Below are 21,795 nucleotides of genomic sequence, written 5' to 3'. Positions count from 1 at the left end.
TTAGTTCCTCCACTGCGTTCTTGCTGTCTGTCTTCCCTGTGTCTACTATCATGTTTATAAATTGTTATATTGAAGTCCCAACAGTTTCTCTGCAACTGTGCAGAAATATGACAAAAAGTAAGTACGGTTTTTGTCTTGTTTCAATAGCATTCTCCTATTTTTTCTGAACCCTTTTATAAATTTTATAATTCTGTCTAAAACTGTTACAATTCTAGAATCTAATATCTTATTCTAAAATAAAATGAAATTTATTTGTAACACGTTTTGTTATATTTAAGGATGGGTCATGGACTTTCCAAAGGGACATTAGAAGATTTGCTTTCTCAGCGTGCAGCATCTCATGTGTAAAGGCGCCGAAAAGGACAGAATTGCTGTATCAGAGCATTCTCTCAGTCATGAAAGGAGAAGTCTAATCCCAAGAAACTGTGTGAAATTGTAAATGGCAACGAAAATGTGATGGTCATCAGCTCTATAGACGTTAGGAATTTACCTTATGGTGTCTTACGCAACAGAAAAAATTCCAAATTGTATTATGGTGCTAGTTAAATTGTGACATTATTTTTGGACAAAACATTCAGAGTTTAAGGAAAAAGGGAGTTGAGTATTTTAAACATAGACTTGATGAGCTCCTTAAAAACCCCAAAATTGTTACAGCTTTCCAAACTAGACATGAAAGAACCGCGGAAGCATCTTACGGAGTAAGTTATCATGTTCATAGGCTGGGTAAGAACACAACAGCCGAGCGAAGAGTGAAGCCCTGTAGAGCTGGCTTTGCTGAATGTCTACTGGCCGCAAAATCAGCAAAGAAGTCATGGCACTGCCACTGTCCATCAATACTATGGCCTGTTGAATGAAAGCCTCAGCTGCAAACATGAAGACTGTATTCCTATCTTGTCTGCACAATTGTACTTTTGGCTTATAAATGGAGGCTGGACTTACTGCTTATCTTTTTTTTTTTAGATGGGGTTTCACCATATTGGTCAAGCTGGTCTTGAACTCCTGACCTCAGGTGATCCACCGACTTCGGCATCCCAAAATGTTGAGATTACAGGTGTGAGCCGCTGCGTCCAGCCAAATTTCCTTCTGTTTTTTTTTTTTTATTATACTTTTAAGTTCTAGGGTACATGTGCACAACATGCAGGTTTGTTACATATGTATACATGTGCCATGTTGGTGTGCTGCACCCATTAACTCGTCATTGACATTAGGTATATCTCCTAATGCTATCCCTCCCCCCTCCCCCCACCCACGACAGGCCCCAGTGTGTGATGTTCCCCACCCTGTGTCCAAGTGTTCTCGTTATTCAATTCCCACCTATGAGTGAGGACATGTGGTGTTTGGTTTTCTGTCCTTGGGGTAGTTTGCTCAGAATAATGGTTTCCAGCTTCATCCATGTCCCTGCAATGGACATGAACTCATCCTTTTTTATGGCTGCATAGTATTCCATAATGTATATGTGCCACATTTTCTTAATCCAGTCTATCATTGATGGACATTTAGGTTGGTCCCAAGTCTTTGCTATTGTGAATAGTGCTGCAGTGAACATACATGTGCGTTTTCTTGTATTCATCTCGTATCAGATAAATGATTCATCAAAGGAGGCTCTTTGATGGGAATGACACATGGTGCTGAAATAGTCCAAGTGATGAATAACTTTTCAGATGTCTTTTATTCTGTGTTGACATTTACACCGCTGTGCATGTGCGCTGGTGGGTCAAACAGCTGTTGTCTCACCGCACATTGAGGCAGTGATACCTAACTGTACTGTACCTGTCACCACTGTGTTCTTTGCTTCTTTGCTGTCACACACTCCCAGTCAAAAAAAGTCGGCTTTCCTGAAGAATGTCTTGGTGAAGAGGTAGAAACCATTAATTTTGTAAAATGTTGGCCCTTGGTTATGTGTCTTTTGAGTACTCTGGGTGATAAGGTGGGAAGTATATATCAATCCCTTCTGCTGCATATTCAATTACAGTGGTCGCTTTGAACAAAGCATGCATATGGTTATTTAAATTGCCAGCTGAATTTATTGCTTGTTTCATGGAACACCATTTTGACTTGAAAGGAGGACTGAAAAACTGTGGTTGTTCTGACTGAGGTGTTTGGTGGCTTTTTCTTTAAAATAAATGAAGTGAGCTTGTTGCTTCAAGGGAAACAATAGCTGACAGTATTTGTTGCCAAGGTAAAATATGGGCTTCCTAGTAAAAGTTAGAATTTTGGAAAACCTGGACCAGGAGTGGCGACTCATGCCTGTAACCCCAGTACTTTTGGGAGGCTGAGGTGGAGGATTACTTGGGGCCAGGAATTCAAGACCAGATTGGGCAACATAAGGAGACTTCATTTCTACAAAAAAGAAGAAAGAAATGAGTCAGGAGTGGCCGTTCTTACCTTTAGGCTTAGCTACTCCGGAGGCTGAGGCGGGAGGATGCCTTGAGCCCTGGAATTCAAGGTTGCAGTGAGCTATGATGGTTCCTGGGCAACAGAAGGAGACGGCCTCTAAAAGAAAAAAAGAAAAAGAGAACTTGTATCTCCCACTGTGAGCTTGACAGATTCCTAAAATCTTAAAGAATTTTCAGCCAAAATCAGTGCTGATATTAACAAATATTACTGAAAAAAATTTTGTGTTAAATAAAATGTGTTAAATTTAGAAAATCTGTGTGCTTCAGTGAACCAATTTTTCCAAGACATGCATGTTACAAAATCATGCAAGATTGACAAGTAAATTTTTATGTAACAGAGTTAAAAACTTCATGATATGGTTTCAGATTCCACATGGTAACTAATCTTTAAGAAATTTCCACTTGTCAAGTTTTGATGTAGTATCAAAGAATATCCACAAGTATCTGAAAAGGCAATAGAAACACCCCACTCCACCACCTTTCCAAATACATATCTGTGTGAAGTTGGGTTTTTTTTTAATATACCTGAAGCAAAACAACACATTGCGGCAGGTTAAATGCAATACAGTTATGACAATGTATCTTCCATCAAGCCAGACAGTAAAAAGATTTGCAAAAATATCAAACAATGCCACCTTTCTCACAAATTTGTCTTTAGAAAATGTATTTTCCATAAAATATTGTATTTATGTTAATATGTAATGAATTTATTTTTGTTATTTTAACATAGGCTTATTAATAAATGCTTAAAAACAGTTTTAATTTCAAATACAGTAAAAATGGGTAGGTATAAACCACCTACATAAAAGGTCTCTGAGGTCCTCAGTTTTTCTTTTTTTTTTGAGATGGAGTCTCACTCTGACACCCAGGCTGGAGTCTAGTGGTGTGATCTGCAAACTCTGCCTTTGGGTTCAAGCGATTCTCCTGCCTCAGCCTCCCAAGTAGCTGGGATTACAAGCACACACTACCGTGCCTGGCTAATTTTTGTATTTTTAGTAGAGACAGGGTTTCACCATGTTGGCCAGGCTGGTCTCGAACTCCTGACCTCAAGTGATCCACCCGCCTCAGCCTTGGATTACAGATGTGAGCCACCGCACCTGGTGGCATCCTCAGTTTTTAAGGGTGCAGAGAGGTCTTGAGATTTAAAAAAAAATTGGGAGAAACACTGCTCTAGAATTTTGACTAGACCAGACCAAGTCTAGCCATGATAATTTCAGGAAATTGATTTATCTTTGAGCAATCTCTAACTTGTCTTGACCCAAACCGGTCAATTCAATTCAATGAGTGTATGTGATATCTACTAAGTTCCCATCATGGTAACTGATGATACAAAGCCAGAAGTTTGAATTTAAATTTTAAGGAGCTATGAAAAAGGGAGAGTGGCCCTTGGATCTCAAGAGAGAACAGCTGACCACTTTAAGAATTTCAGGTGCAGCACACGTGGGCACACATTCAGGCAGGTCCACGTACTGGTAGTGGTGACAGGAGGACTTCCTTTTTGGAAGGCTTCTATTTTACAGTGAGAGTGAAGAGCTGGGTATGGAGGTTTAAGAAAAGAATAGGTATGAAGTGGTCTTATTTCTTGTTTTTTCAAATTACTCAACCCATATTGTGTTGATCTAAATGGACATTTCAAGATACAGATACTGTAAACAAAAAGGGCACAAAATCTGTAATGCATTAGCTAGATAAAGGGTTAATACATCCAGTGTATGAAGAGCTCTCACACATCATTAAGAAAAAGACAAAAACCTAATAGAAAAATAGGCAAAGAATACGATTTGGGAATTCATAGTTGGAGAAATCCAGATTATACATAAATACGAAAAGAAGTGCAATGAAAGAGGGAAATGCAGTTTAAGTAATAATGATATTGTTTTCACCCATATGCTTGGCAAAAATTAAACACTGTGGGACAGACAGAATTCAGAGAAATAAAATTTTCAATAGACTTTTGTTGTGAGTGTGAATTGGAATATCACTTTTGGAAAATAACCTTGCAATATCTAAAATTCAGGGAAAAAAACGCCTTAGAACTTTGACACAGCCATCTCACATTTGGGAATATATCCTTGAGAAAGAAAATCTCCAATTTATAACAATACATGTACAAAAGTGTTTATTTCTGCATTTTTCCTTTTATTGAGATACAGTTCACATTCCATAGAATTCACCCATTTAGAATATACATTTATATATTATATAAATGTATTTAGAATATACATTTATATATTATATAAATGTATTTAGAATATACATTTATATGTTATATAAATGTATTTAGAATATACATTTATATGTTATATAAATGTATTTAGAATATACATTTATATGTTATATAAATGTATTTAGAATATACATTTATATGTTATATAAATGTATTTAGAATATACATTTATATGTTATATAAATGTATTTAGAATATACATTTATATGTTATATAGATGTATTTAGAATATACATTTATATGTTATATAGATGTATTTAGAATATACATTTATATGTTATATAGATGTATTTAGAATATACATTTATATGTTATATAGATGTATTTAGAATATACATTTATATGTTATATAGATGTATTTAGAATATACATTTATATGTTATATAGATGTATTTAGAATATACATTTATATGTTATATAGATGTATTTAGAATATACATTTATATGTTATATAGATGTATTTAGAATATACATTTATATGTTATATAGATGTATTTAGAATATACATTTATATGTTATATAGATGTATTTAGAATATACATTTATATGTTATATAGATGTATTTAGAATATACATTTATATGTTATATAGATGTATTTAGAATATACATTTATATGTTATATAGATGTATTTAGAATATACATTTATATGTTATATAGATGTATTTAGAATATACATTTATATGTTATATAGATGTATTTAGAATATACATTTATATGTTATATAGATGTATTTAGAATATACATTTATATGTTATATAGATGTATTTAGAATATACATTTATATGTTATATAGATGTATTTAGAATATACATTTATATATTATAGTCTTACAATAAAGTAAGCTACAGAAAAGAAAACGTTATTAAGAAAAGCATAAGGAAGAGAATAAATGTTTCCTATTCATTACCTGAAAGTGTATCATTATAAAGGTTGTCACTCTCATCATCTTCATGTTGTGTAGGTTGAAAAGGAGGAAGAGGAGGGATTGGTCTTGCTGTCCTGGGGTGACAGAGCTGGAAGTAAGTGAACCTGCTCAGTTCAAACCCGTATTGTTCACAGGCCAACTGTATTCACAAAGGTGTGCAACCACCATTACTATATAATTCCAGAACATTTTCTTTTTTATTTTATTTTATTTTTGTTTTTTGAGACAGATTTTTGCTATTGTTTCCCAGGATGGAGTGCAATGGCTCGATCTTGGCTGACGGCAACCTCCACCTCCCGGGTTCAAGCGATTCTCCTGTCTCAGCCTCCCAAGTAGCTGAGATTACAGGCATGTGCCACCATGCCCAGCTAATTTCTGTATTTTTAGTAGAGATGGGATTTCTCCATGTTGGTCAGGCTGGTCTCAAACTCCCGACCTCAGGTGATCCGCCCACCTTGGCCTCCCAAAGTGCTAGGATTACAGGCATGAGCCACCGCGCCCGGCCCAGAACATTTTCATAACCCCAGAAAGAAACTCTGTACCCATTAGCAATAATTTCTCATTTCCCCCTGCCTCCGGCCTCTGGAAGCCACTAACTGACTTTCTGTCTCTATGGATTTGCCTATACCAGACATTTCATTTAAATGGAATTAAACAATATTTGGCACTTTATGTCTGGCTTCCTTCATGTGGTATAATATTTTCAGGGTTCATTCATGTTGCAGTGTGTGTTGGTACTTAATTCTTTTTTTTTTTTTTTGAGATAGAGTCTCGCTCTGTCACCCAGGCTGGAGTGCTGTGGCATGACCTTGGCTCAGTGCAACCTCTGCCTCCTGGGTTCAAGGGATTCTCCTGCCTTAGCCTCCCACGTAGGTGGGATTACAGGCACACGTCACCACGCCTGGCTAGTTTTTATATTTTTAGTAGAGACAAGGTTTCACCATATTGGCCAGCTGACCTCAGATGATCTGCCTGCCTCGGCCTCCCAAAGTGTTGGGATTACAGGCCTGAGCCACCATGCCTGGCCTTAAACTTCATTCTTTTTTTTTTTTTGGTGGGGGGGGATGGAGTCTCGCTCTGTCACCCAGGCTGGAATGCAGTGGTGCGCTCTCGGCTCACTGCTACCTCTGCCTCCCTGGTTCAAGCAATTCCCATACCTCAGCCTCCTGAGTAGCTGGGATTACAGGCGTGCACCACCATGCCTGGCTAATTTTTGTATTTTTAGTAGAGATGGGTTTTCACCATGTTGGCCAGGCTGGTCTCGAACTCCTGACCTCAGGTGATCCGCCCACCTCGGCCTCCCAAAGTGCTGGGATTACAGGCATGAGCCACCATGCCTGGCCCTACTTCCTTCTTTTTAATGGCCAAATACTATTCCATTTTATAGAAGTATCACATTTTGTTTGTTTATCAGTTGATAGATATTTGAGTTGTTTCTACCTTTTAGCTATAATAAATAACGCTGCTATGAATACTTGTGTGCAAGCATTTGTGTGGACACGTTTCCAACTCCCTTGGGTATATACTTAGAAGTGGAATTGTTCAGTCACCTGGTAACTCCATGTGTAACATTTTGAGGAACTGTGAAAACTGTTTTCCAAAGTGGCTGTCCCCCCAGCAACGTATGAGTGTTCCATTTCTCCATAGCTTATCAACACTTGTTATTGTCTGTCTTTTTTATTCTAGCCTTCCTAGTGGGTATAAAGTGTGGTTTTGATTTGCATCTCTCTAATGACTAGTAATATGGAACATCCTTTTATGTACTTATTTACTATTGTATATATTTGGATAAATGTCTATCCAAATACCTTGCCTATTTTAAAAATGGTTTTTTAAAATTATTGAGTTGTAAGACTTCATTATATATTCTGTGTAGAAGTTCTTTATCAGGTATATCATTTCTGGATATTTTCTTCCATTTTGTGGGCTATCTCCCTTCCCTTCCCTTCCCTTCCCCCTCCCCTTTCCTACCCTCGCCTCCCCTCCCCTCCCTTCCCTCTCTTCCTTTCCTTTCCTTTTTCCTTCCTTCCTTCCTTCCTTCCCTCCCTCCCTCCCTCCCTCCTTCCTTCCTTCTAATGCGGATTTTGTCAAATGCTTTTTCTGCATCTATTGAGATGATCATATGATTTTTGTTTTTAATTCTGCTTATGTGATGTACCACATTTATTTACCTGTGTATGTTAAACCATACCTGCATCCCTGGTATGAAACCCACTTGATCATGGTGTATTATCTTTTTGATATGCTGTTGGATTTGGTTAACTAGTATTTTGTTGAGGATTTTTGCATCCTGGTATGAAACCCACTTGATCATGGTGTATTATCTTTTTGATATGCTGTTGGATTTGGTTAGCTAGTATTTTATTGAGGATTTTTGCATTCTGGTATGAAACCCACTTGATCATGGTGTATTATCTTTTTGATATGCTGTTGGATTTGGTTAGCTAGTATTTTGTTGAGGATTTTTGCATCTATATTCATCAGGGATATTGGTCTGTAGTTTTCTTTTTTTTTGTTATGTCATTTCATAGTTTTGGTATTAGGGATACCAGCTTCATAGAAGGACTTAGGTAGTATTCCATCTTTCTCTATCTTTTGGGATAGTTTCTGTAAGATGGGTACCAATTTTTCTTTGAATGCCTGATAGAATTCAGCTGTGAATCCATCTGGTCCTGGACTTTTTTTTGTTGATAATTTTTTTTATTACTGTTTCACTCTTGCTGCTTGTTATTGGTCTGTTCAGAGTTTCTATTTCTTCCCAGTTTTATCTAGAAAGGTTGCATGTTTCCAGAAATTTATCCATCTCCTCTAGATTTTCTAGTTTGTGCACATAAGGGTGTTCATAGTAGCCTGGAATGATCTTTTGTATTTCTGTGGTATTGGTTGTAATATCTCCCATTTCATTTCTAATTGAGCTTATTTGGGTCTTCTCTTTTCTTTGCTTGGTTAATCTCACTAATGGTCTATCAATTTAGTTTTTTCAAATAACTAGCTTTTTGTTTCATTTGTCTTTTGTATTTTTGTTGGTTTCAATTTCATTTAGTTCTGCTCTGATCTTTGTTCTTTCTTTTCATCTGCTGGGTTTTGGTTTGGTTTGTTCTTGTTTCTCTAGCTCCTTGAGGTGTGAGCTTAGATTGTCTATTTGTCTTTCAGACTTTTTGATGTAGGCATTTAATGCTGTGAACTTTCCTTTTAGCACGACTTTTGCTGTATCCCAGAGGTTTCGATAAGTTATTTAACTATTATCATTCAGCTCAAATAATTTTCAACTTTTAATTTTGATTTCATTGTTGACCCAAAGATCATTCAAGAGCAGTTTATTTAACTTTCATGTATTCATATAGTTTTGAGGATTCCTTTTGGAGTTAACTTCCAGTTTTATTCCATTGTGGCCTGAGAGGATACTTGATATAATTTTGATTTTCTTAAATTTGTTGAGACTTGTTTTGTGACTGACTATATGGTCTGTCTTGGAGAATGTTCTGTGTGCTGATGAAAGGAATGTGTATTCTGCAATTGTTGGGTAGAATGTTCTGTAAATATCTGTTAAGTCCATTTGTTCTAGGGTATAGTTTAAGTCCATTTTTTCTTTGTTGACTTTCTCTCTTGATGACCTGTCTAGTGCTGTCAGTGGAGTATTGAAGTCCCCCACTATTATTGTGTTGCCATTTATTTCATTTCTTAGTTCTAGTAGTAATTGTTTTATGAACTTGGGAGCTCCACTGTTAGATGCATATATATTTAGAATTGTGATATTTTCCTGTTGGACTAATCCTTTTATCATTATGTAATATCCCTCTTTGTCTTTTTTAACTGTTGTTGCTTTACTGTCTATTTTGTCTGATACAAGAATAGCTACTTCTGCTTGCTTTTGGTTTCCATTTGCATGGAATATCTTTTTCACCCCTTTACCTTAAGTTTATGTGAGTCCTTATGTGTTAGGAGAGTCTCTTGAAGACAGCAGATACTTGGTGTATGGATTTTTATCCATTCTACCATTTTGTATCTTTTAAGTGGTGCATTTAGGCCATTTACATTCAACGTTAGTATTGAGATGAGAGGTACTGTTCTATTAATTATGCTAGTTATTGCCTTTTTCCCATTGTGTGATTATTTTATAGGCCCCGTGAAATTTATGGTTTAAGGAGGTTCTGTTTTGGTGTATTTCAAGGTTTTGATTCAAGATTGAGAACTTCTTTTAGCACTTCTCATAGTGCTGGCTTAATAGTGGTGAATTCTCTCAGCATTTGTTTTTCTGAAAAAGACTTTATGTCTCCTTCATTTATGAAGCTTAGTTTTGCTGGATACAAAATTCTTGGGTGACAATTATTTTGTTTCAGGAGGCTAAAGATGGGACCCCAATCTGCTGAAAAATCTGCTGTTATTCTGATAGATTTCCCTTTATAGGTTATTTGATGCTTTTGTCTTGCAGCTCTTAAGATTTTTTCCTTCATCGTAACTTTAGATAACCTGATGACTATGTGCCTAGGTGATGATCTTTTTGCAATGAATTTCCCAGATGTTCTTTGAGCTTCTTGTATTTGGATGTCTATGGAGTTAATTTTTTTTAATATGGTGTAAGGAAGGGGTCCAGCAGTAATGTCCCCTCTTGCATTCCTAATTTTAATAATTTGAATCTTCTCTCTTTTATATTGGTCAGTCTAGCTAAAGGTTTGTTAATTTTGTTGATCTTTTGAAGAAACAACTTTTTTATTTTGTGAATTTCAGCTATTGTTTTTCTACTTCTTATTTTATTAATTTCCACTGTAGTCTTTGTTATTTCCTCCCTTCTGCTTTGTTTTTAGTTTGTTTTCCTTTTTTATAGTTCTTTAAGATGGAAGTTTAGATGATTAATTTGAGTGAGGGGCTGCCTAGTGGAGCTGTGAGAAGAGGGTCACTGTCCTCTAGACCCAAGAATGGTAGATCCACCAACAGCTTGCACCATGCACCAGGAAAAGCCACAGACACTCAACGCCAGCCCATGAAAGCAGCTGGAGGGAGGCTGTACCCTGCAAAGCCACAGGGGCAGAGCTGCCCAAGATCATGGGAACCCACCTCTTACATCAGTGTGACCTGGATGTGAGATCTGAAGTCAAAGGAGATCACTTTGGAGCTTTAAAATTTGACTGCTCTGCTGGATTTCAGACTTGCATGGGCCCTGTAACCCCTTTGTTTTGGCAAATTTCTCCCACTTGGAATGGCTGTATTTACCCAATACCCATACCCACATTGCATCTAGGAAGTAACTAGCTTGCTTTTGACTTTACAGGCCCATAGGCAGAGGGGACTTACTTGCCTGGTCTCAGATGAGACTTTGGACTGTGGACTTTTGGGTTAATGCTGAAATGAGTTAAGACTTTGGGGGACTATTGGGAAGGCATGATTGGTTTTGAAATATGAGAACCTGAAATTTGGAAGGGCCAGAGGTGGAATGATATGGTTTGGCTGTGTTCCCATCCAAATCTCAACTTAAATGGTATCTCCAAGAATTCCCACATGTTGTGGGAGGGTCCCAGGGGGAGGTAATTAAATCATGGGGTCCATGATTCCTGTGCTATTCTTGTGATAGTCAATAATTCTCACGAGACCTGATGGTTTATCAAGGGTTTCTGCTTTTGCTTCTTCCTCATTTTCTCTTGCTGCTGCCATGTAAACAGTGCCTTTTGCCTCCCATCATGATTCTGAGGCCTCCCCAGCCATGTGGAACTGTAAGTCTAATTAAACCTCTTTTTTCCCCCAGTCTTGGGCATGTCTTTATCAGCAGTGTGAAAATGGACTAATACAGTAATATATAAAAAGTTTGCTGCTATATTGCTCCATTTACTCTCCTCTCCTTTGTCCTGTTATTGTTATACAAATGACATCTTTGTATGTTGTATGCCCATCAGCACAGATTTATGGCTATTGCTTTATGGAGTGCATTTAAAATTAAGTAGGCAAAAAAAGAGAGTTGCAAACAAAATATGCAATTATACTCTCTTTTATAATTTCCTATGTATTGAGCTTTACTAGTACTTTTATTTTTTCTTGTGGATTTGAGTTACTATCTAGTGTCCTTTTATTTTAGCCCAAAGGGCTTCTTGTAATTTTTATTGTAGGGCAGGTCTGCTAGCTATAGATTCTTGCAGTTTTTGTTTATCTTAATGCCTGCTTCGTGTTTGAATAATAGTTTTGCTGGATGTAGAATTCTTGGTTGACAGTCTTTTCCATTCAGCATTTCAAATGTGTCATTCCATTACCTTATGGCCTCCATTATTTTTGATGAGAAATCAGCTGTTAATGTTATTTATGAGTTCATGTATATGATGAGTTGCTTCTTTCTTGCTGTTTTTAAGATGCTGTCTTGGTCTTTGTCTTTTGACAGTTTGTTTGCAATGTATCTTGGTCTCAGTTTCTTTGTGTTGATCCTCCTTGGAGTTCGCTGAGTTTTCTTGGATGTGTAGATTAATGTTTTGCATCAAATTTTTAGCTATTTGGTCATTATTTCATCAAATATGCTTTTTATATTTTTCTCTACTCTACATTTTGGACTCCCATTATGCATGTAGTTTATATGCCTCATTATGTCCTAGAAGTTTCTGAGAATCTGTTCATTTTTTTGTCATTCTTTTTCTTTTCTGTTCCTCATACTGGATCACCTCTATTAATGTATATTTTAGAATCTTGATTTTTAATTTGGCCTGCTCAAATCTGCTGTTGAGTTCCTCCAGTGAATCTTCATTTCAGTTTTTATAATTTTTGTATTCTAGAACTGCTATTTGCTGTTTTTTTAAAAAAAATTTCTATCTTTTTATTGATATTCTGTATTTGGTAAGAAATCATTTTCAGACTTTACTTTTTAAGATATGGTTGCCTTTAGTTTTCTGGAGATATTTAAAATTGCTGATTTAAGTGTTTCTCTGGTAAATATAAAGTCTAGGCTTCCTCAAGTATAGTTTCTTTTGATTGCTTTTTTCCTTGTGTTTAGGCCATAACTTATTGTTTCTTTACATGTATTATAGTTTTTTCTTAAGAACTGGACATTTTAAATTATGTAATGTGGCAGCTCTATAAATCAACTTTTCTCTCCCTCTTCACCCAGGGTTTGTTGTTGTTTGTTTGTTTGTTTAGTGGCTTTTCAGAATTAATTGTGTCAAGTCCAGATTCTTTGTCATGTGTGGCTGCTGAAATCTCTGCTCAGTTAGTTTGGAGATCAGCTAATGATTGGGTAGCAAATCCCTTAACTATCTGGAACCAATAAGTTTTCTAGTTTCTGCCAAGGGGCTCTGTGTGTTTTGGGGCATGCCTTTATTAGTCAGTTGTGTGGTTTTCGTGTCCACCTTAGCCATCACTTGCTGCTTGCACAGAGCCTCAAGGTCAGCCAGAGACAAGAATTTGGGAACTTCTCAGGTCTTTTCTGAGAATGCTCACAGCCCTGGATATGCACATAGCCTTACACATGCATGTAGCCTCCTAGAGTCCCAAGAATATGTCAGCCTTCTGTGGACATTTCATTACTCAGCTTTTACTTTTTATTTTTTTAGTTAGCCTGTTTTTCGTTCCACCTGTTGTCACTGCTTCAGGCAGTCACTATGTGAAACAATTGCTACTGATCTGTTTTCTACAAGTGCCTCCCCCTTCATCCCAGAAAAGGTCATTTGCACTGTTTGTATCTTATTTGAATCAGGTCAAATAAGGACAAGCTTTGGGAGTGGGATATTTCAAAGACCAACCTGACAAGTTGCATAATGACAATTCTCTGGGAACAGGGCTTTCAAGGAAGTTTAATCCCTTTCTTCCTTCTTCAGTGGTTCTGGTTTTTACTGTGATTGCTGGCTATTGGTTTTTAAGGCTACCAAAGAGCAAGGGAGGAGGAGATGGGAATAAGCAATTAAAAATGTCACAGAACTCTCTGTTCTTGCCTAGATTCAGCTGTTTACACGAGTAAAGGATCCTTGGATTAATGCAAGGCTTGGTTAATTTCCAGAGGTCAGGAAAAGTTGATTGTGACAGTTTTCCCAATGTATTTATTGCTTATATGAAGGGGAGAATTTTTGGAGGTCATTACTGCCATTCACAGTGCTATCTGCATTGTTTTTAACAGTGAAAACCTGATAACAAGAAGAACATTTGTACCATGGAATGTTGTGAAACTACTCAGAAGAAAGAGTTTTAGTTGTCTCTTGACATGGAGGAGTGTGGCAATGTTTTAAATGAGAAAAATTATATATATATAGAGAGAGTGAGCACATAAATGTGGGTATCTATGTCTCTATCTATCCATCTATCTTCAATTTTCCTAAAATTATAACAACTGAAAGCTCCTATGTGTCTATATTTTCCTTTGAGTATGGGGACAGGTGTATAAGGCAAATCCTGGGGTGTCAAGTTGGTTGTAGTGAGATTTTGGGAATAAATGGGGAGAGGATGTGTGGAAAAGCATATTAGCTTTTTCTTTATTATCTTTGCATAGTTTCAGAGATTGTGGTGAACATGTGTTGCATTTGTTATTTTTGAAGGTGACATCTTAAGAAATATTTATGGGGGACAAAACCATCCATTATTCTACAATCCTCAAGAATTTTACATTTAAAGTTTTCTCTTTCTTCTTTGCTTTCTACAGCCGTATAAATATACTTTCATAGTCACAGCAGAGATACATTAGTATTCTTTTTCATGTGAACCAAACTATTTCATAGTTTAAAAAATTAAATGTTGCACTGGCTCTCCATGTTTCCTAGGACTATTTTTTAGACTCAAGAGAGAAGAGTTGTTCAGTGGATGCCAAAACATGCAGCTGTGCTTATGATAAAGCGGTGATGGCTGAAACAATTGGCAGGGCCTCCTACAGCCATTGCTTCCTGCCAAGCACAAGCCTTCAGGATGTGATGAAAGGGCAGGGAGAGCTTTGCAGGCAGGCTCACTGCTGTGTTGTGGAAGTCCTTTTGGATTCTTAAGAGACATTCTATTGTCCTGTGTATTCAGCCTCAAGTGGCCACTCTAAAATGTTTAGTCACCCAAGACTTTGAAGAGCTCTTTACTCTTGAGTGGAGGCATAAGGAGAAGCCCAAAGCCCTCTACTATCTGACTCATGCCTTGCTGTTGCTACTTCAGTGTCCTTCCTGTGCTGAATGACCTGCAAATTCAGGGAGAGATCCTAGAGGACCCTATAGCAGTCTTAGCACGGACACAGCAGGTTTCTGCTGCACCTGGCTGGTGGTCTTTGGTCAACTTCTTGAACTCTCTCTCTGCTTCCCCCTGATTCCCTAAACAGTTAATATGAGTAGTAACACTTCCCGACCATATGGCTGTCTCTAAACCTTCATCCTTAGCAGGTGTGTGTGGGAGTGTGATACACACAGGGGTACCCACTGTCTCCCAAGCTCCAGGACAGATGTGTGGCCTGGCACATTTGTTTGGGGGTTCTGGGCTATTACTCTTGCATGTTGCTTTTCTTGCCCCTGTTTCTTATCTCTTTTTCATCCAAGCTCACCTACCCTTTTCCTTTTGATTAAGCAAATGGTGCTATATTCAGGACAATGATGTTTTTATCATGTTGCCTGGAGCTCATCCCTCATCTCTGATACTGTTGTGATGTTGTGAGAAGGCACGGAAGCACTGTGGGCTGTGGGGCATGGTGGGCACCATACTATCACTGAGAAGACATGAGTGAAGACCACTCACGTCCACAGGCCCACATGAGTGAAGATCCAGCCCTGCTTGGAAGAATGCATGGGCAGCATCGCCTGTGTGTGTGTGTGTGTGTGTGTGTGTGTGTGCAGAACTGAGAAAAGATAAGGATGTCTTGCATTACGCAGTGGAAGTATAGTAGCGCTGGTCTTTCATAAGTTAATGGGCATGATGAGTTAACCTATATTCCTAGAAAAATCAGAACAGAACTCCATGAACATGAATGAATACGTGTGTTTAGGAAAGTCAGAGTTTCAGTATTGATCCATCAGAGAAAAGACCTAAGCAAAACCGGATAATTATGCAGAGTAATCTGCCATCAGTAATAATAATATATATTTTTTGAGAAGGAGTCTTGCTGTATCGCCCAGGCTGGAGTGCAGTGGCGCAATCTCGGCTCACTGCAACCTCTGCCTCCTGGGTTCCAGCGATTCTCCTGCCTCAGCCTCCTGAGTAACTGGGACGACAGGCACACGCCACCACTCCTGGCTAATTTTTGTATTTTTTAAGAGAGACGAGGTTTCACCATATTGGCCAGGCTGGTCTTGAACTCCTGACCTGGTGATCCACCCACCTTGGCCTCCTAAAGTGCTGGGATTACAAGCTTGAGCCACCATGCCTGGCCAGTAATAATACTTTTTAAAAACACCTTGATTATAAGCTGCGGCTTTAGCAAATGCTTGGCTCCACATGGTGCTGATGATGTGTCTGGCATGTTTAACTTCCTGCTTTGAGCATTTTATGTTAAGAGTCCCTGAAGACATTAGGGGACTGGTTGAGTGGAGGGACAGAAGCGGGAAGTGGTTAGATGAGAAGCTGAGTGTGCGTACAAGTGTGTGTGTTCATCCTTGCCTCAGAACACTAGGTAGGTGTGCTGTGTTATTTACAAGCTAGGGGTGGGGGGGGCACTGGTTGCAGCCTTTATATTGAAGAGAGGTTTCCACTTTGGACCCTCCTGTGGGTCAAGGGAAGAAGGCAGTGATAAGTGTGTCCTTCCACTTACATTACTTTTGTCAAACATGCTAAGTTGACAGCATTTGCTAAAATACTTAGCTACTCCCTTAAGGGGCATCTTGGCTTCATGTGATGATTGGCGATTAGTAATGACTCATCACTGGTGAGAAGTTAAGAGCACACCCTACAAAGACACAGTTGGATTATACAAGTCTTGCCCTAGTTAGAATGTCCCGCTAATGAGTGCAAGGAGCTGGGGTGAAAGAGTGGCAGATGTGCCACGGATGGTTTCCAGCAGTCCTTTCTTAGTTACTTAGGATGTCAGAGGGGTTTGTACACTCAGTTCCTCCAGAGCCATCCACTTACTTGCACTCTTAGGTAAATAGCTCTTGGTTATGGCAAGCCTGGCTAATTCACTAAGTCTTTCAGGTACTTAGTGACAGATGCTGTGTGATTTGTGGGACACCACAGGGAGCAAGCTGGAAGGCTTGTGGTCCAGCGGTCCTTGCAGGTTTCACAGCAATAGGCTTCATGCCATCCCTGCCCTGAAAAGCTGCTGGAGGCAGCACAGTGTGATGATTTAACACACAGGCATCGGATTCATAGCAGAGTGGCTGCAAAATTGTATCTGAATGCAGCAAGGCCTCAGCAAAGTTATTTACCTTCCTATGTACCAGCTTCCTTATGTGTAAAAGACCATAGTAGCACTAGGACCCTAGGATTATCCAATTATTACTGGAGAGCTATCTATCTATCTATCTATCTATCTATCTATCTATCTATCTATGTATCTAAAAGGAGATATATTAAAGGAGATATGTGAAAGAACTAAACACTGTGCTTAAGAAATAGCCCTCAGTAAACATCAGTTGTTATTGTTGGACACAAGCCTGGTGGACAGGGCAGAGATGAATATGTAAAACTCTATCACTACTATTAAAAACAACAGGAACAATACCATGGATAGACAAGCTTTATTATTTTCATGTGCCAAAGACTGAGCCTTTGGGTTCCTATGAATAACTGGCTTTCCTAAATTTTGAGAAAGTTTCACTTACAGTGATGTAAATAAGAGAATTAAGCCCTAAATACAGGATCTCCATTTAAAGATTAACACGTGTATGAAAACAAAAACCCCTATCTGGCTCTTAACTACCCCTTCTGTTTGAAAGGGATGTGGGGGTCGTTGGCAATCCCCTTCCACTCTTTTAAACTGAAAAGTTGAGAAATGCATATGGTTAGAAAATGCTGAGTTAAAAATGTGTGAAAAATCTTTCTGGTTCTGGACCTCAGTCCTTCTCCCCAGAAGTAACTATATTGTCAGTTTTTGTCAAATATCTACTTATCCTCCTACTAATTTTTGAAATTTTATTTGTGGTAAGATATACATAACATAAAAGTTGCCATATTAACTTTTTTTTAAAATTTGTTTTTTATTTTTAAGAAACAGGGTCTTGCTCTGTCACCCAGGCTGGAGTGGAGTGGAGTGATCATGGTCCACTGTAGCCTTGACCTCCTGGACTTAAGTGATCCTCCTACCTCAGCCTTCCTTGTAGCTGGAACTACAGGCATGTACCACCACATGCAGCTATTTTTTATTTTTATTTTGTGGTAGAGATGGGGGCCTTACTATGTTGTTCAGGCTGGTCTTGAACTCCTGGCTTCCAGCGATCCTCCCCTTTCAGCTTCCCAAAGCACTGAGATTACAGGCATATGCCATGACTCCCAGCTCCATATCAACCATTTTTTTTAATGATACAGTTCAGTAGTGTGGGTACATTCACAGTGTTTTGCAACCATCACGACCATCTATCTCCAGAACTTTTTCATCTTGCAAAAGCGAAACTCTGTACCCATTAAACAATTTCTAATTTCCTCCTCTCCCAATCCCTGGCAATACTCATTCTATTTTCTGTTGTTATCAATTTGCCTATTCTAGGTACCTCATGTAAGTGGAATTATACAGTATTTGTGCTTTTGTGACTGGCTAATTTCAGTTAGCATAATGTTTTCAAGGTTATCCATGTTGTAGCATATGCCAGAATTTCCTTCCTTTTTCAGGCTGAATAATATTCCATTGTGTGCATAGACCACATTTTGTTTGTCTATCCATCTATCAGTGGAAGTTACATAAGTGTCCACCAAAAGATGAATAGACAAATTTGTGTGAATGGGTCAATCTTAAAATTTTAGAATCAATTTGTCTATATCCACAAAAAACTTGCAATAATATTGTTTGGGATTATGTTGAACCTATAGATCAAGTTTGGAAGAACTAACACCTTAACAATATTGAGTCTACCCATCCATGTACATGGAACATCTCTCCATTTATTTAGATCTGTTTTGATTTCTTTTATCAGAGTTTTATAGCTTTCCGCATGTGGATCTTGTACATATTTTGCTGGATTTATACCGAAGTATTTCATGTTTTTTGGGTGCTAATGTAAATGGCATGGTGTTTTCAATTTCAAATTCCAATAGTTTCTTATTGGTATATAGGAAAGCAATTGATTTTTGTGTATTAACCTTGCATCCTGAAACCTTGCTGTAATTGTTTATTAGTTGCAGGAGTGTTTTGTCAGTTCTTCGGGACTTTCTGCATAGACAGTTATGCCATCTGCGAACAAAGACAGTTTTATTTCCTCTCTCTCAATCTGCGTACTTTTTATTTCCTTTTCTTGTCTTATTGCATTAGCTAGGACTTCCAGTATGATGCTGAATAAGGATGGTAAGAGTGGACATTCTCACCTTTTTCCTGATCTTAGTGGGAAAACCACTAGTTTTTCACTATTAAGCATGGCTTTAGCTATAGATTTTTCTGTGTGTGTGAACTTTTTGTTCAATTTGAGGAATTTTTCCTCTATTTCTAGTTTGCTAAGAGTTTAAATCATGAATGGTTGTTGGATTTTGTTAAATGCTTTTTCTTCATTTATTGATTTAATCATATGATTTTGGGCTTTCATTTCTGTTATTGATTTCTAGTTTAATTCCATTGTGGTCTGAGAGCAGATTTTGTATGATTTCTATTCTTTTTAATTTGTTATGGTGTGTTTTATAGCCAAGAACGTGGTCCATCTTGGTGAACTCTTTGTGTGAAATTGAGAGAATATGTTCTCTGTTGTTGTTGGATGAAGTATTCTATAAATGTCAGTTCTATCTAGTTGATTCATGATGCTATTCAGTTCAACTATACCCTTGCTGATTTTCTGCCTGCTGGATCTTCCAACTCCTGATAGAGGGGTGTTGACATCTGCAACTATAATAGTGGATTTACCTATTTATTCTTGCAGATCTATCACTTTTGGTCTCATGTATTTTGACACTATGTAGTTAGTGCATACACATTAAGGATTGTTATGTCTTCATAGAGAATTGACCCATTTATCATTATGGAATGCTCCACTTTATCCCTGATAATTTTCCTTGTCCTGAAGTCTGCTTTTACTGAAATTAACATAGCTATGCCAGTTTTCTTTTGCTTAGTGTTAGTGTGGTATATCTTTCTCCATCCCCTCACTTTTAATCCATCTGTGTCTTTTTATTTAAAGTGGGTTTCTTATAGATGATATATAGTTGGGTCCTGACAGTCTCTCTCTTTTAATTGGTTCATTTAGACCATTCACATTTAAAATGATTACTGACATAGCTGGATGAATACCCACCATATTTGTTACTGTTTTATATTTGTTGCCCTTGTTTATTCTTTCTTTTTTCTTTTCTTTTTTGTCTTTCACTCTTTTTCAGTCTTCTCTGGTTTTAACTGATCATTTTATATGGTTCTATTTTCTCCTATTCTCTTAGCATGTCACTTACACTTTTAAAAAACAACTTTTTTTAGTGGTTGCCCTGGGTTTACAAAATATAGGTACTTATTCCAAGGCATTCTTGAGTAACACTATACCACTTCATGGGTAGTGCAAGTACCTTAGAGTATTCCCAATTCTCCTCTCCCATTTTGTATAACATTTCCGTCATTCATTTCACTTTTCCATAAGCTACAATCACAGAATGGCTTTTTGCTATTATTTTTCGAGCAAACTGTTATCTTTTAAATCAATTAAGAATAATAAAAATTAACCCGGGTGCAGTGACTCACACCTGTAATCCCAGCACTTTGAGAGGCTGAGGCAGGAGAATCACTTGAGCTCAGGAGTTTGAGATCAGACTGGGCAACACAGTAAGACCCCATGTTTACAAAAAGTAAACCAAATTAGGTACTTATGGTGGTATGCACCTGTAGTCTTAGCTACCAAGGAGTCTGAGGTGGGAGGATTGCTTGAGCCTGGGAGGTTGCAGTGAGCCTTGAGATTGTGTCACTGCAGTCCAGCATGGGCAACAAAGTGAGACCTAAGAAAAGTTTAAAAAACTAACCTTCACTTAATTGCTCTCTAATGTTCTTCCTTTCTTAATGACTTTCTTCCCTGTATCATTTTCCTTTTCTCTGAAGAACTTCTTTTTAACATTTCTTGCAAGGCAAGCCTACTGGAGATAAATTAATCTTTATTTTTCTGAGAAAGTCTTTATGTTCTTTTACTTTTGAAGAACAATTTTGCAGCGTACAGAATTCTAGTGTGTTGTTATTGTTATTTTTCTGTCAACACTTTAAATATTTCACTACACCTTCCTTGCTTGCAAAGTTTCTGAAGAGAAGTCCTGTGTAATACTTATCCTTGCTCCTCTATTGATAAAGTGTTTCTTTCTCCTTTCAATATTTTTCTCTTTGTTTATGATTTTCTTCTGCTTAAACAGGATGTACCTAATTGTACAGTTTTTGGTATTTACTCTGCATGGTGTTCTCTGAGCTTCTTGGCTGTAAAGTTTTGTGTCTGTCATTAAATTTGAAGCATTACCAGTCATTCTTGTTTCAAATGTTTCTTCTGTTGCTTTCTCTCTTTTGTCTCTTTCTCATATTCCCATTATGTGTATGTTACAGCTCTTGTAATTGTCCTACAGTTCTTGGGTATTCTGTTCTATCTTTTAATTTTCTTTTTGATCTTTACATTTCAGTTTTAGAAGTTTCTACTGACATATCTTCAAGTTCACTGATTCTTTCCTTGGCCATGGAGTTTATTGATGAGCTCATCAAAGGCATTCATTTCAGTTGTAGCATCTTTGATTTCCAGCATTTTCTTTGGAATCTTTCTTAGAGTTTCCATCTCTATGCTTACATTACCCATTTTTTCTTGAATATTGCCTACTTTTTTCATTAGAACCCTTGGCATATTAATTACAGTATTTTTTAATTCCTTGTCTGATAATTCCAATATATTTGCAATATCCAAGTCTGGTTCTGATGCTTGCTCTGTTTCTTCTGTGTTTTTAGAGTTTTCATACACATCCTAATCTCTTGTTAAAAGCCAGGCATGATGTGCTGGGTAAGAGACACTGGTACTGGTTCCTGAAGCTGTTTTCTTTCTTGGGCCTCTGCTCCAGTACAATGTGAATCTCTGTATTTGCCTATCTGTCTCTCCATTTTGGGGGCAGCAGTTTTCCCTGGGACTGCAATTCTTTGATGGATCTAAGAAGAGTTGTTGATTTTCAGTTTGTTTAACTCTTTTCTTGTTGTGAGGATGGAAGTGATGATCGCTTCCAAGCTCCCTACATAGTGGAGTGGAAACT

The 21,795-nt window shown here is 37.6% G+C and overlaps 1 long non-coding RNA gene across 1 annotated transcript in view, besides 1 other annotated feature; it reads left to right on the top strand.

The window, feature by feature from the left end:
- Positions 1–21,795, top strand: part of FOXF2-DT (FOXF2 divergent transcript) — a 67,585-nt gene that overhangs the window by 27,703 nt on the left and 18,087 nt on the right. The gene's annotated exons all lie outside the window — the stretch shown is intronic.
- Positions 14,056–14,705: an enhancer, noted in NCBI's record as "OCT4-NANOG-H3K27ac hESC enhancer chr6:1348887-1349536 (GRCh37/hg19 assembly coordinates)". NCBI's record gives its function as "activates a minimal SCP1, AML or CMV promoter by ChIP-STARR-seq in naive and primed H9 embryonic stem cells {active_cell/tissue: H9 hESC(naive and primed)}" and the evidence as "EXISTENCE:reporter gene assay evidence [ECO:0000049][PMID:30033119]".

Source organism: Homo sapiens, chromosome 6, assembly GCF_000001405.40.
Source record: "Homo sapiens chromosome 6, GRCh38.p14 Primary Assembly".
In the NCBI taxonomy this organism is placed as follows: domain Eukaryota; kingdom Metazoa; phylum Chordata; class Mammalia; order Primates; family Hominidae; genus Homo; species Homo sapiens.
The sequence above is the reverse complement of the archived record's forward strand: the minus strand, read 5'-3'. Positions and strand labels throughout refer to the sequence as shown.